This window comes from Homo sapiens, chromosome 15 (genome assembly GCF_000001405.40).
Source record: "Homo sapiens chromosome 15, GRCh38.p14 Primary Assembly".
Classification (NCBI taxonomy): Eukaryota; Metazoa; Chordata; class Mammalia; order Primates; family Hominidae; genus Homo; species Homo sapiens.
Window position 1 is genome coordinate 57,132,801 of NC_000015.10, and position 13,934 is coordinate 57,146,734.

Below are 13,934 nucleotides of genomic sequence, written 5' to 3' on the forward strand. Positions count from 1 at the left end.
AAAAGGAGCTGACAAGAGCTCTGTGGATGCTACCTAACAGATCATGGAGCTCTGCCTATGTCTAATTATAGCAATGTTTGCTGAAAATTGTTCTATTTATCTTCTCTTGTAATTATGCACTATACAGAGTCACCCCTCACACACCAGGAGAATGTGAGGAAAACAAAGCCAGTGACTCTACATTTAAATTTTTTTCATGGTCACCTAATTTTTATTTGCAATTCAGTTTTAGCTAGGTTATTTTAGAAGGATGCAAAGCCTTTTTATCCTTCATACAAGATTACCAACTACCATTTTTACTTTCATCCTCCTTTGTTTCATACTATTGTTTAACAGTTGTTTTGTGTAGGATACAAGCCTTGCATGCCAACTTTGATGTGGCAGAATGAATCATGTTACCATTGATCTGAGCCTGAACAGAATAGCCATCTTCAAATAGGAAGAAGTTTCTAGCTTCAGGTTGTTTTAGCACTGCGTGCCTTGCTTAGCCTGCCGTGTAAAGTCAGTTGCCTCACTCGAAACAACCCTGTATTAATATGCACAACATGACCATTTTCAGTAGAAGGTTATTAGAATGCTAGTTTGTATCCTCTAGTGAATGAAATGATGTGTGATTATGAAGTCATCAGGCATGGACCAGTAAGACTCCAGAGAGCCTGCCCCCTCCGAGGTCCTCAGGGTGCCATTGATTGGTGGCCATGTGTTTGTGCCCGATAGACTGTGAAATGGTGTGTTGCTACACGGCTGTGTTGCACCTGCGCCCCACCGAGGTGATTGATTGGTTTGGTCATGTGGAATGTTCCCATCTGGTCTGCAGTAATGTGTTTTTTTTTTTTTTTCCCATCTGTGAATAGCAAGTGCTGGCTGAATAGTTACAGCAAACAGTTTCAGAAGCTAAATAATCCTTTTCCTCTAAGAACAAATTGGGATATGAAGGAGTTTGTTTTTGCTTACCTTGCCTTTTGTAAAGGTAGTCATTCTCCATCAGGTTCCTACTCCTTCTGTCTAGGATGTTATGTGCTTTTCTCTTTTTACCTATTTTTACCTCCTCTTCATAATAGATTACGCTTTCTGTATTTCTAATTTGTGCAAGTTTAAAGCAAAATCTGTTCTTTTTTGCTGTTTGTTGTTTTGATATGCCACTTGAAGTGATTTGCAATTTTTTAAAAGATAGTTTCTGTGATCATAATTGGATTATCAGAGTACTGATGTATTTTTAAGCTTTCACTTAACCTCACAAGAGTGGTGGTTTATTTATTGAAAACTACTGATGTTGCAGTTTAAATGTCAAGAAATTATTTATTAGGTTCTTTTTTTAAAAGATTCTATAGTTATATTGGGCGGTCTTGTTTGATATTTCTTAATCTTAGTCCTTTTTCATAATTGATCTATTCATTCCACCTAATGACTAATTACATATCAGAGCACATCATCAACCACATTCATCATAGTAGAATGTAATAATCAATGACATTTCAACAAAGGAAAAAATAAATATGCAAATAAGGCCTCATTAACATTTGCATGAGTTGTTTGAATAATCACGTTGCTGACAAGGCTGTAATTAACAGAAATTGATGCTGAGTTCAGTATTTGATAGTGTGTTTTCTCAGCATTTTATTGTTGTCACTGCGGGGGCTGAAATGAAGTTCTGCTCTACTTGTACCTTGACTGGAATTTGATGTGCAGGGCTGTGCCAGGTACGAAAGGCTTCTGGGAGCCCTTGATTCATCTGTGACCTACACTTAATGCATATAAAGATTCTTTATTTAAATTGCCTTATTTTTTTAATGAAGCACCATTAGATTTTAGCAATTATGAGACAACTGTAGAAAGAAAACAAACATGAAAATTCAAATCATTCATTATTTTGCCAGAAATGGCTTATATGAATCAGATACAATTAAGACTTCAAGATTTAAATTTGCTCATACCATGGAAAACTGATGCCATTAATTTTTTTTTTCCTCTCTCTTAAATCTTGCCCAGTGGATCACTGTCAAGAGGTTGGAGCTTACTGTAATTGAAAATCACTTGCTTAGGGAAAAAAATCTAATTATAAAATGTACAGTTTGAGGGTTTTTGTGTTTTTTTTTTTTTGAATAGCTGTGCACCCCCACATTCCTCCTCCTTTTCCTGTACTGTTTCCTGTTTTTGTCATGGATATTAACTGAAATGCTCTAAACACAATAAAGCTGTTTATGTCAGTTTTTTGGATGACTGCAAGTGCTGATTATAACAAGTTTAAGGAATTTCCTTTGTTGAATGTGTACCCATGCCATATGGCTCAACATGGAACATTAACTTGACAGGGATAATGGATTGTGGTATATGGAGACAATTTTGCCTGCAGCTTTACTATAACTCATTCTGGTTGGGGATCACAGGTTTGTAGTATGGGATGCAACAAACATCCAGATGGATTTACTTTACATAAAAGAGTTGCATTTATTTTTATTTCCTTCCTGTAATTGGAAAAAGAACTTTTTTTAAAAGAATCAAAATATTAAAAAGTAAACGAAGGGAAAATTGTTCAAATGAAAACATGTATTCTGAGCAGTTTTTTTGGTAAAATGCTATGAAAGAGACTATTTTTGTATATTTAGCACATTAAAGTCATGGTGTATATAAGCTGATACTGCTTTTGTCTTTACGGTAGTATCCAAAATGAATTTTCCTCTCAAGATTAGAAAGTTGTCTGTATCAACCTTAAAGGTGTTTCAGGTTTGTAGACATAAATGATCAAGCAGTGTCAATTATGAAATTATTTTAGTAATGCTTATTAAATAGTAGCCCTCTCTGAGATGAATTGGATTTGTAAGATTTGAGATAGAAAAGCTTTTTAAAAAAGTATCCAGTTTTTCTTTAACTGCAGTATATCACATATAATAGAAGAAAAGGTTTGTTATTTCGCCAAGCAGTAATAAAGTTGCTGACTGTTGGCTTCTTGGTTTTATATGTATCCCTGTGAAAGTTACTCTTAATTTATCTGGTGGGAATAAGAAAACTAAAAGCCACTTTGGCAGAATGATCATGTAACCAAAGGCTAGTTACCTAGAATGCTTAAATACATTGTTGTTAAGAACTGACATCTATTCTAGCTGTGTTAGAGGGGGAAAAAATCTGGATTTTTTTTTTTTCATGAAATGGGCTTGTAATGCTAAAAAAAACTAGCTGACTTGGTTATTTTCACTTTCTTTTTAAATAATTTAGATCTTCATTTATCTTCCACTCTGTGTTTAGGTGGAATATAGAGCTTATGTCATCAATTAAATTATGTGGAAATCTATAATTTGTCTAAATAAAATCATTGATCTATACTATTGATCTGCAGTATCCTTGATACATTAGGTAATGTGCTGTCTCTGAGCACAGTAGATAAAGACAGCTATCCCTTGCAGCTTCTAAACACTAAAAATTGCTGACATCTTTGCAAGTTTATTTTGAGTACCTAGGACATACACAGAAGTCAGAGGCCAAGCTTTTTAACCATCTTTGCTGTGTCAAAAAACACTGGAAGTGGGAAGGAAACTAGGCTGGGAGGCCATGTTTTCTTTTTTTTCTTTGCTCTTGGGAGACGTTTGCTCTTTATTTCTCTTATGAAGTCACAGTGGCCTGTCATAACCATGGATTAAATGTTTGAACACAAAAACAATAATTCCCATGATTTAAGTCACAGCTTTTAACAGATCGACGTATATTTCTTATTTCTACATTCCAAGGTATGAAAAATAGCTATCAATTTCTAGTGTATTATCTCACACTAATACATATAAAGGAAATATGTGAACTTACCCTCAAAGAAACAATAAAATTTTCAGAGACATCAAAATAAGTATTTTAGGTTTGAAGATCCCTTTTCCTTCATTTCGTAATAGATGTTTTCTTTTTTTGAGACAAGGTCTCACTCTGTCACCCAGGCTGGAGTGCAGTGTTGCTATCATGCCTTATGGCAGCCTCTACATCCCAGGCTCAAGTGATCCTCACACCTAAGCCTCCTGAGTAGCTGGGACTGCCACACTCAGCTAATTTTTATAGAGACAATTTCCCATGTCGCCCAGGCTGGTCTTGAACTCTTAGGCTCAAATCATCTGCCTGCCTTGTCCTCCCAATATGCTGGAATCACAGACAATAGACAATAGCCACTGCTTCTGGCAGTTTTTTTTTTTGTTTTTTTTTTTTTTTTTTTTTTTTTTTGAGACGGAGTTTCACTCTGTCACCCAGGCTGGAGTGCAGTGGCGCGATCTCGGCTCACTGCGAGCTCTGTCTCCCGGGTTCACGCCATTTTCCTGCCTCAGGCTCCCAAGTAGCTGGGACTACAGGCACCTGCCACCATGCCCGGCTAATTTTTTGTATTTTTAGTAGAGACGCGGTTTCACCGCATTAGCCAGTCTCAAGGTCTCAATCTCCTGACCTCATGATCTGCCCGCCTCGGCCTCCCAAAGTGCTGGGATTACAGGCGTGAGCCACCACGCCCGGCCCTGGCAGTGTTTCTTAATGTGATATCCAGCATTGCTTATAAATAAAACACATTTTTCCCCATGTATTTTAAATACTGTAATTTACAAAGGATGTATTAATGAATAATGAAATTTTTTTCCACTTTGGTAAAAGTTTGACACAGGTATAAAGGGCTTATATTGAAAAATATGGTATTCAAACAAAATATTTTAGAAGTTACTCATCTAAATTGCCTAAAATATTATTTCTAAAAATATTTGTGGATTAACTGAGAATGTAGGAATCGTTGTAGGATTTAATACATTTTAACCATTGATATTTGGTTGTGGTGGCATTGCTTCCATAATACAGTGACTCTGCAACTGCTATCTAGATTTTTTTCACTTGTAGAGTGTAATAATTTGCAAATGTTTTGTTTATTTTTATATTGGCAGAGATTATAATTCTGAGGTACTATGCTTATAGGAAAGACTTAAAGAATATTAGGTCGGGCACGGTGGCTCATGCCCGTAATCCCAGCACTTTGAGAGGCCAAGGCTGGCGGATCACGAGATCAGGAGTTCGAAACCAGCCTGGCCAACCTGGTGAAACCCTGTCTCTACTAAAAATACAAAAATTAGCTGGGCATGGTGGCAGGCATCTGTAATCCCAGCTACTCAAGAGGCTGAGGCAGGAGAATCATTTGAACCCGGGAGGTAGAGGTTGCAGTGAGCCAAGATAGCACCATTGTGCACTCCAGCCTGGCTGACAGAGTGAGACTCTGTCTCAAAAGAAAAAAAAAAAAATAAAGTATTACCACCAGTTCTACTTGTTCTTCTCTTTTCAGTGGCCCATCCTTAAGCCAGTTCTCTCCTTGGTAGAGAACAAAGACAGGCAAAAGAGAAGAATTTCCAGTTTTTCCATTTTACTTTTACTTGTTAATATCACTGATGGCTAAATATTTCATGAAATTATACTTTGATGCTCATGTCTAAAATGACACTTCAGCGTTAACTAAAGATTTCTGTTTTTCATGTTTTTTCATTTAACACTGCTTCTCTACAGCTGAGCCTGGGTTTCAGTGTTTAAATCGGATCTTGGAAGAAGCTTTCTGTAAGCTTGGAATGTGCCTTATCTTAAAGCCTTCTTCTCTTACCCTGTTAACCATTCCTGGCTTAAAACCTTCAGAAGTCATGGGATGTGGGTTTGCCTGGGGAGTCTGCTGCCTCCAGTGGAAATTTAGGCAACTGCTATGGCTATTCCAGACAAGTACTTCACAGATAATCAGATCTGTTTCCTATCTAACCGAAAGGAAAAGTGTAAAGCTTAGAGGGGTAATTCATATATTCCACTTTATAAACCATTCTAACAGCCAGTTGTAGGAACAGGGCAGCTGTTTGTTTTTAAAATCACTTATTCTCAAAAGAGTTCATTTGGAGACAGTTAAAATAAGGCAATAGGCAGAAAGTGGTAGAGCTAGAAGAGGCCTAACTATGTTTATTGGGGTTCATAGATAAAAAGCAAATGACCAGGTATTTTCATTATAAGCCATTATGTAGTCATTTCTTTTTTAAGCGCGTGCTACCAATTGATGTTTTCAGTTATGAAGAGTTTTGCTGTTACTAAATGATCAAAATTTTAGGTTTAGAATATTGTAACTAATATTTCTGAAATTGAGAAAAATTTAAGTAAGTGAATATATGATTAAATTAACCAGTAGCTGAGATCATTTACCTATTTCAGTTGAGAACTTGAGCTAAAATTAAGCTTTATACATAATCCCAGTTCCAGAAAGGACCTTGAGAGGTCCTCTAGATAAGATCATATTTAGACTGTCCCAAACACATTAGCCTATAATTTAGACAAAATTAATCTCAGTCAGTCTCAGTCTGTTTTTCTCTCTCCCTTCTCACCTCTCCTTGACTTCTCTTTTTCTAGTTACTCTTCCTTCTCCAATATCCTTTCCTCTTGCTCTCGTAATCTCTGTCCCCTTACTTTCCTCTGCTCTAAAATTTCTTACTCATGTGTACCACAAGAATGATGGTCTTTTATAATCCGTTTTATGGCTATTAATTACATACACTAAATTTTCAAAGCAAAGACCTAATGTTCTATTGTATAGATGTTTCAGAAATCATCATACATATAACTAGATTTCAGCTGCATGTTGGTATCCATCCCTAAACAGTTTAAGGGTGTTAGCGGTGATTATGATAATTGGGAGCAGAAGACAGATTCTCTTGACTAGGCAAACTTTAGTGAATCTTAGTCCTTTTCCCTGGAAAAATTAATAGTATCACTCATTACATAGGGCTTTGCTCCTGCATAACTAAACCACCAGGGAGATCTTCCAGGTTCCTAGCCATCACCTTTATTTGCAAACACTAAAAAATCTCTAATGTTTACTTCTTTAAACCAAAAAAAAAAAGTTAGAGCATTATAGCTGTGGCCTGCATTCATAGAAAAAGTATGCTTGCACTAATGTTTAGGGGCTAGGAATATTAAAGCATTTGCTATGACACTCAAGAAAAAAGTAATAGTACCAAAAAAGCTTTATAGATGTTTTCATTCTTTAATTTCCATAATCTCCCTATAGAAGATCTGGAAATTACAGTAAGCCAGAAAAAGAGACAGTAAACTTCATTCACTCACAGTCCTATCATTCAGTCATTATCAGTATTAACATTTGGAGTATAGTAGATGCCGTCTTTCCCACAGAAATCGGACAGGCACTTTGCCATTTAATTAAAAACAGTTTATTCCTCAAAAAATCAACATAATTACCATATGATCCAGCAGTATTACTTCCAGGTACATACCCAAAAGAATTGAAAGCAAGATCTGAAAGAGACATTTGTACACCTATGTTCATATCAGCATTATTCCCAGTTAACCAAAGGATGGAAGTAACCAAGTGTGTGTTGATGAATGAATGGATGAACAAAATGTGGTATATGCATACAACAGAATATTATTGAGCCTTAAAAAGAAAGGAAATTCTGACACATGCTATAACATGGATGGATCTTGATAATGTTTTAATTGAATGAGTATGCTAAGTGAAATAAGCCAGTCATAAAAAGACAAATACTGTATAATTCCATTTCTGTGAAGTACCTAGAGTAGTCAGATTCATAAAGACAGATTATCGGGATCAGGAGGAACCTTAAAAGGTTCATCATCCAACAACCCTTGAGTATTTTAATCTCCTTTTATTCAACAAATATTTATAGATCATGTGCTAAGTGTCAGACGTTATGCTAAGGACTGTGGAAACAAAGGAAACAAGTTTGATAAGGTTCCTGCATTCATAGATCTAAGGCCTAATAGTAAAGCCTTCCATCACTTAGGGCTTGCTGATTACAAAGTGCCGTGTAATTATTGCAGATAGCCTTTATTTAACTATTTATTTGGGACACATAGTGGGCTAAGCCTTTGTGTATATTTATGCATTAAATTCAAATTCTATGAGATATAAACAAAATTATTTTATTTTATATTTGAGGAAACTGATGCTGAGATAATTGGTTTGCACAGGATTGAACAATTTACATTGCAAACCCAGGTCTATCTTACTCTGCAATTTGATTTTAACCAGTATATTATGACCTCTGACCTCAAGTTCATTACTTCCCTTTTTTTGCCTTTTTGCATGCCTTTACATCTCTGTCAAGGTATTGTCCAATCTGTGCTTTGAACATCTCTAATAATGTAATACGTTCTCTCAAGGTACTTATCTAATCTTTGGATATCTCTGGTAGGTCTTTATGATGTGTTTTTTAAAAAAATCAGTCTCTATATAATTTTCCCACTTTGGTCCCAGATGTGTTTTGAGGATCACACCAAACTGTGACAGCCGGTCCTTCAGATATTTAAATCAGGCTATCACCCTTTTTCTCCAGAAATACTTCTCCACTGGTATCAAATCCTGTGATTTCAAATGTATTTATTTTCTTAGTCACTGTCCGTGAACAAGTTTTAGATTGCTTGTATTTTTCTTACTATGGCCCCAGATATTGATGCAGTTTCTCCAGATACAGAGTAATGACAGGAAACACTCTTCAGTGAAAGTGGTAAAAGCAGGCATTAACTAACCATTCCCCACTCGCTGTTTGATTGATTGATTGAGATGGGGTTTAGCTCTTGATGCCCAGGCTGGAGTGCAGTGTCACGATCTCAGCTCACTGCAACCTCTGCCTCCCAGGTTCAAGTGATTCTCCTGCCTCAGCCTCCCGAGTAGCTGGGATTACAGGCATGCGCCACCACGCCCAACTAATTTTGTATTTTTAGTAGAGGTGGGATTTCTCCATGTTAGTCGGGCTGGTCTCAAACTCCCGACCTCACGTGATCCGCCCACCTCAGCCTCCCGAAGTGCTGGGATTACAGGCGTGAGCCACTGCGCCCAGACCACTCGCTGTTATTTTTAATTAAATTAACAGTTATTTCACTGGAAACAGCTATAAATCTTGCAACTCAGAGAAGAACTATCTTTTCCTTTTAAATTATGTGAGCCTTATAATTCTGCACTCAAGTGTCAGAAATCAGTCAGCCTAGGCACATCTCCCTTAATTTGCAGTGGCGGGACACAGGGGCAGTTGCTGTAGGTAGGTAGGAACAGGAAGATTAGCTAGATTATGGAAAGGTTAGGCAAAAATGTAGGAACTCTTGGTTGAAGAATATTTCAAGCTTGAATGACATAAAGGGAAGAAGCACAAACGGGAGGAATAGTTTGGGTGTTTAACAGCTCAAGGGAGAAACGATATAGCTACAGTCCTTGGTTTTGTGCAGCACTCTTTTTGAAGCCAGTGATCACAGCAAAAACAAGAGGAGGTGAGATAAGAGCTTCTGTGCAGTAGAGCATCCACACAGAAGGGTGCAGGATGCAGCAGCAAATGGAAGTTGGCTATATACAGGGGAATTGATTAAATATGTAAACATATTATAGATAAAAGACCCATTATCGCTATTAGAGAAGGAAATTACAAATATAGGAAGGAACAAAACCAGAATGAATCCTGTGGTGTTGGATGGGAATTGATTATATCAGTATTTACTCACACTTTTATAGATAGATAGATAGATAGATAGATAGATACAGAAAGAAATATAAATATAACTGTGTTACATATATATGTCTATACAGATTCCCTCAGCTGTGTTCACTCATAGAGCCTGAGAATAGAGCCTGGAGCAGCATCTTGTTATTCTGGAAAGGAAGGATGTGCCAAAAGCCAGGCTAAAGGGGCTCCCACTGGCCAAATCTGTACATTTTGAACAACAAAATAAATAGTGATAGTAATAGATTTATAATTCTTTGAATAAAGTAGGAAACTATAAGTCTATGCTGATATATAAATTATGCTGATAAATGAATAAAGTTTTGTGAGAAACAGGATTTTTACCTAGTCTCAAAATACCTTCTCACAAAATGCTTATCAACTAAAGTGGGAAAAGGTAACTTTTCAGTTGAGGAGCCTTAGCAGACACCACCTAATGAAGTGGTCGATTCACCATCAATAATGGGATAATTCAGATTCATGTGCCACCTAACAGAGTGCATTGAGAACACAGCATCATTTCTGTGTTACTCTTTCCAATCTAATCTTAAGGAAATACCATGCAAAATAAATTGAGGGACATTCTAAGCTACAGTATGAAGGATATGAAAGTCAAGAAAGTTGACGAGAATGAATAAGACTAGCATTTGATAGCACAATGTGACTGCATTCAATAATTTAATTGTAAGTTTTAAAATAACTAAAAGAGTATATTTGGACTGATTATATGTAACATAAAGTATAAATGCTTGAGGTGATGGATACCGCATTTACCCTGACATCATTATTATGCATTGCCTACCTTTACCAAAATACTTGATGTATCCCATAAATATATACACCTATTACGTGCCCCCCCCCACCAAAAAAAAAAAAAAAAGAAGTAAAGCTAATGCATGATTCTGAACTTGGTCCTTTTGTTAAAGGACATTATTGAGACATTTGGTAAAATTCAAACAGGGTCTGAAGATAGTAATGTATAAATGTTAATTAGATGATTCTGATGGTTCTGTCATGCTTATTTGTACAGTACACATCAGCACATACACACCGAAGTATTTTGTGGGTGGTAGAGCATCGTGTCTGCTGCTTATTCTCAAAAATAACTAAGGGGAGGAAGTTTCATTTACTAACAACTTTTATGTAAGCTTGGGACATTTTAAAAATTAAACCGAAACAGCAACAAAAAAGGATTGTTTTGAACCTGAATGTGGAAATCTCAATGTCAGAATATTTAAAAAATGGATTTTGTGTTCCATGTATAGAGAAGGAAAAAAATCTTTTAGGTTTTAAGCTGGGTTGTAGGTTTTCTGACTGGGGCCCTGTACATTTGTGTGGCAATAGGTTAACAAGAGAAAGGCAGACAGAGGTTTATTCACATGTGCATTGCCTATACACATGAGTGTACCCAGAGACGAGTTACTCAAAAGACTGTTTAAAATTTGGAGTTTGTATACCTAACTTGGTAGAAGAAAGAGAGGGAAAAGTCAGGGCACTTATGGTAAGCAAATGACTTTTTGTAAAAATAAATGGGTCTTTAGGATAATAGATTGGAGATAGGCTACTTTGTGACAGTGTCTCTCTGGGTGTGGTGCTTACTTCTGTCTCCAGTAAGAGAGATTAGAGTTGCTCCTGGGGAGGGTTTTTTTGACAATTGAGTTCTTTTAGGAGGCTCTGCTTTTAGGCAGATAAGGATTTCAGAAACTGAAATGCCTTCAGCACAAAATAATTCTTATGCCAAAGTGTAATATTTTAGGATAGCATATCCTGATCCACCTTCACATGCACTGGGAAACTTCTATTAGTTTTTGAACAGTGGAGTGTAATGAAGATGATGTTCTTGTATGGATAGATGGGAGCAAAGAGAAACTAGAGGCAGGGGTATCAGTTGGGAGCCAAATGCTTATGTGTTCATCCACAGGAATCTAAACTGAGATGGTGATTGTTATGGGCAGAAAGAAAGGGATAGATACGAGGCACATTCTAAGGATTATCTTTTGGAATTTGTTCACTCTTAAAATGAAAGTGACAGAAAGAGAAATAGATGATGCGTAGTACAAATAAGTTCACATTCTGGACCAGAACAGGGCGTATTCCTGAACTTACTTGAAAATAATTTGATGACATCTTACTGTTTAATGTAAATGCTTTTAATGTAAACAAGTAGCATTTAATTACATAAATTACTTAGAGTTCTTACACTTTATAGGCTTTCTTTTCTTATACTTGTGTTCCTAAACTTGTGACCGTTTTGTACTGATGATTGGGTAAGTCAAATCATCAAATGACGTAACTTCGTTTGTTTTTCCCTCTCTTTTTGAGACAGCTTCTCACTCTGTAATCCAGGCTGGAGTGTGGTGGCACGAGCTCAGCTCACTGCAACCTCCGCCTCCTGAGCCCAAGTGATCCTCCCACCTCAGTCTCCCAAGTAGCTGGGACTACAGTCACACATCATCATGCCCAGCTAACTTTTTTGAATTTTTTTGTAGAGATAGGGTTTTGCCATGTTGCCTAGGGTGGTCTTAAACTCCTGAGCACTAGAGATCCACCTGCCTCAACCTCCCAAAGTGCTGGGATTACAAGCATGAGCTGCCATACCTGGCAGACCTAACTTCTTTGTGCACATGTTATATGGGTTACTTCACATGCATGAATTCTTTTAAAGATTTTAGCTTATCTGTAAGGAATATACTATATACTATGAGCATTTAAAAATACTTTTCCTGTATCAAATACAATGTTTATTGTAGAAAATCAAAATATGGATGAGCCAAAAGAAAATAAGAACATCCCTTATTTAAGAACATTTAAACATCTTAATAAGAACATTTCCATATGCCCAGGGCTACTGTGCTGCTTTAGTCTTCTGCTCTAAAGTTATTCTGCAGGGTATTCTGTCCATAGCTAATATTGGGAGAAAGGCAATCTAATTAAGCTTATTTACATTAATGAGTATTGGTAATGTGTTACAGTACAGAGAACCTAGGATTTGGAATCAGAACCTGAATCTTAGCAGTGTGCTCAGCCTTCACTACATTTATGACCTTTGGTAATTTAGTTGACCTCAATGATTCTCATTTATAAATGATTTCTCATTTATAAAATGGGAATAATAAAACTTGATTATCAGGGGATTGGTGAGTGTGAAATAAGATAGAAAATGCACAGTAAATGTAGTTTGAAATATGTAAAAAAAAAATGTGTACTAGGGATCATTGATAATGAGTGATGGACTTCTAATTCTTACATTATTTGCTTTTTGAAGTTTCTTGGTCACCCATATTGACCACAGATTGATAGAATCTTAGCTGTTCATTTAAAAAATATATTTTAGAGAATGAAAAAGGGAAAAAGAGTTGGTGTAGGAGTCACTTTGGTAAGCACGCTGACATAGCCTCAGTTTATATACTCAGGGATGCCTTCCTAGAGCTGTTCCTGATTCTCTCTTTCTTTGAATCCACCTGATCTCTAAAAGCTAACTCTATGCCCAAAGGTCAGTCAGCCTCTCCTTATGCTACTCTGCTCCTGCTGCGTGATAGTTGAGGGTAGGAAGGCTTTTGAGTTTAGAGCAGCGTTTCTGAAGCTTTATTGCTTATAAGAATCATCCAAGGATCTTGCTATAAAATGCAAGTTCTAGTTCAGATCATCTGGTATGGTACCCGAGATTCTGAATTTTTACAAACTTCATGGCCTTGCCTCTGATCTGAATATTACACTTTGAGTGGAGTTAAAAAACATGAATGATGTTTTTTATGTGACTTTTTATTTCTAAAGCTATTTGTAACTTAGGGTATTACTCATATTGTTATTACATATACCCTTTAAGATTTCATGTTAATTTCTTCTATTTAATACAGTCTTGTTCTCTGTGTAAAGCCTCAAACTCATTAGTTGCCCCAGGGTAATAATGAGGGTAACCAGTACTAGCATAAAGTGGTTACACAGGAGAACCAATACCAAAGGAAAATGTAACTGATAGTAGCAAGGTTTTTCTTTCATTCTTAAAACTTTGTCAACATCTCTCACTAATAGTAAATTAAATGTGAAATTTAAAATGAAATTACTAGATATACAAATTTGTTACATTTTCACCATGTTACAGAGTATTCATGTAAAAATCACTTATATTTAATAGCCAGTGTATTCATATTGTTTTAAATTAGGATTTTGTCTTAGGAGAGTTATCAAGTTCTATTTATTTCTGTGATACAAAAAATATTCAAATTTATATTATAGAACTCTAAGGAAATGAATACCGGATTTAGTCAAGGCAGAAATACCAAGACACAAGGGGGCACTGTCTTACCATAATCTGACTGATTTTAATTTAGCTTTTTGTTTGCTGTGAATGTCTTTCGTTTCCAAAATTCTGTCTTCTTTGTAGTTAATCATGAAAGCTTAAATATTATACATTCCTCTAAAGCTGTAATACTTAAA

General features: G+C 36.2%; 1 protein-coding gene across 24 annotated transcripts in view, besides 2 other annotated features; it reads left to right on the forward strand.

The window, feature by feature from the left end:
* TCF12 (transcription factor 12) overlaps positions 1-13,934 on the forward strand; it is a 373,221-nt gene that overhangs the window by 214,711 nt on the left and 144,576 nt on the right. The gene's annotated exons all lie outside the window — the stretch shown is intronic.
* Positions 246-960: an enhancer, noted in NCBI's record as "VISTA enhancer hs357". NCBI's record gives its function as "enhancer in: neural tube[6/10] | hindbrain (rhombencephalon)[6/10] | midbrain (mesencephalon)[9/10]" and the evidence as "EXISTENCE:transgenic organism evidence [ECO:0001131][PMID:17130149]".
* Positions 1,030-1,954: an enhancer, noted in NCBI's record as "VISTA enhancer hs623". NCBI's record gives its function as "enhancer in: forebrain[4/8]" and the evidence as "EXISTENCE:transgenic organism evidence [ECO:0001131][PMID:17130149]".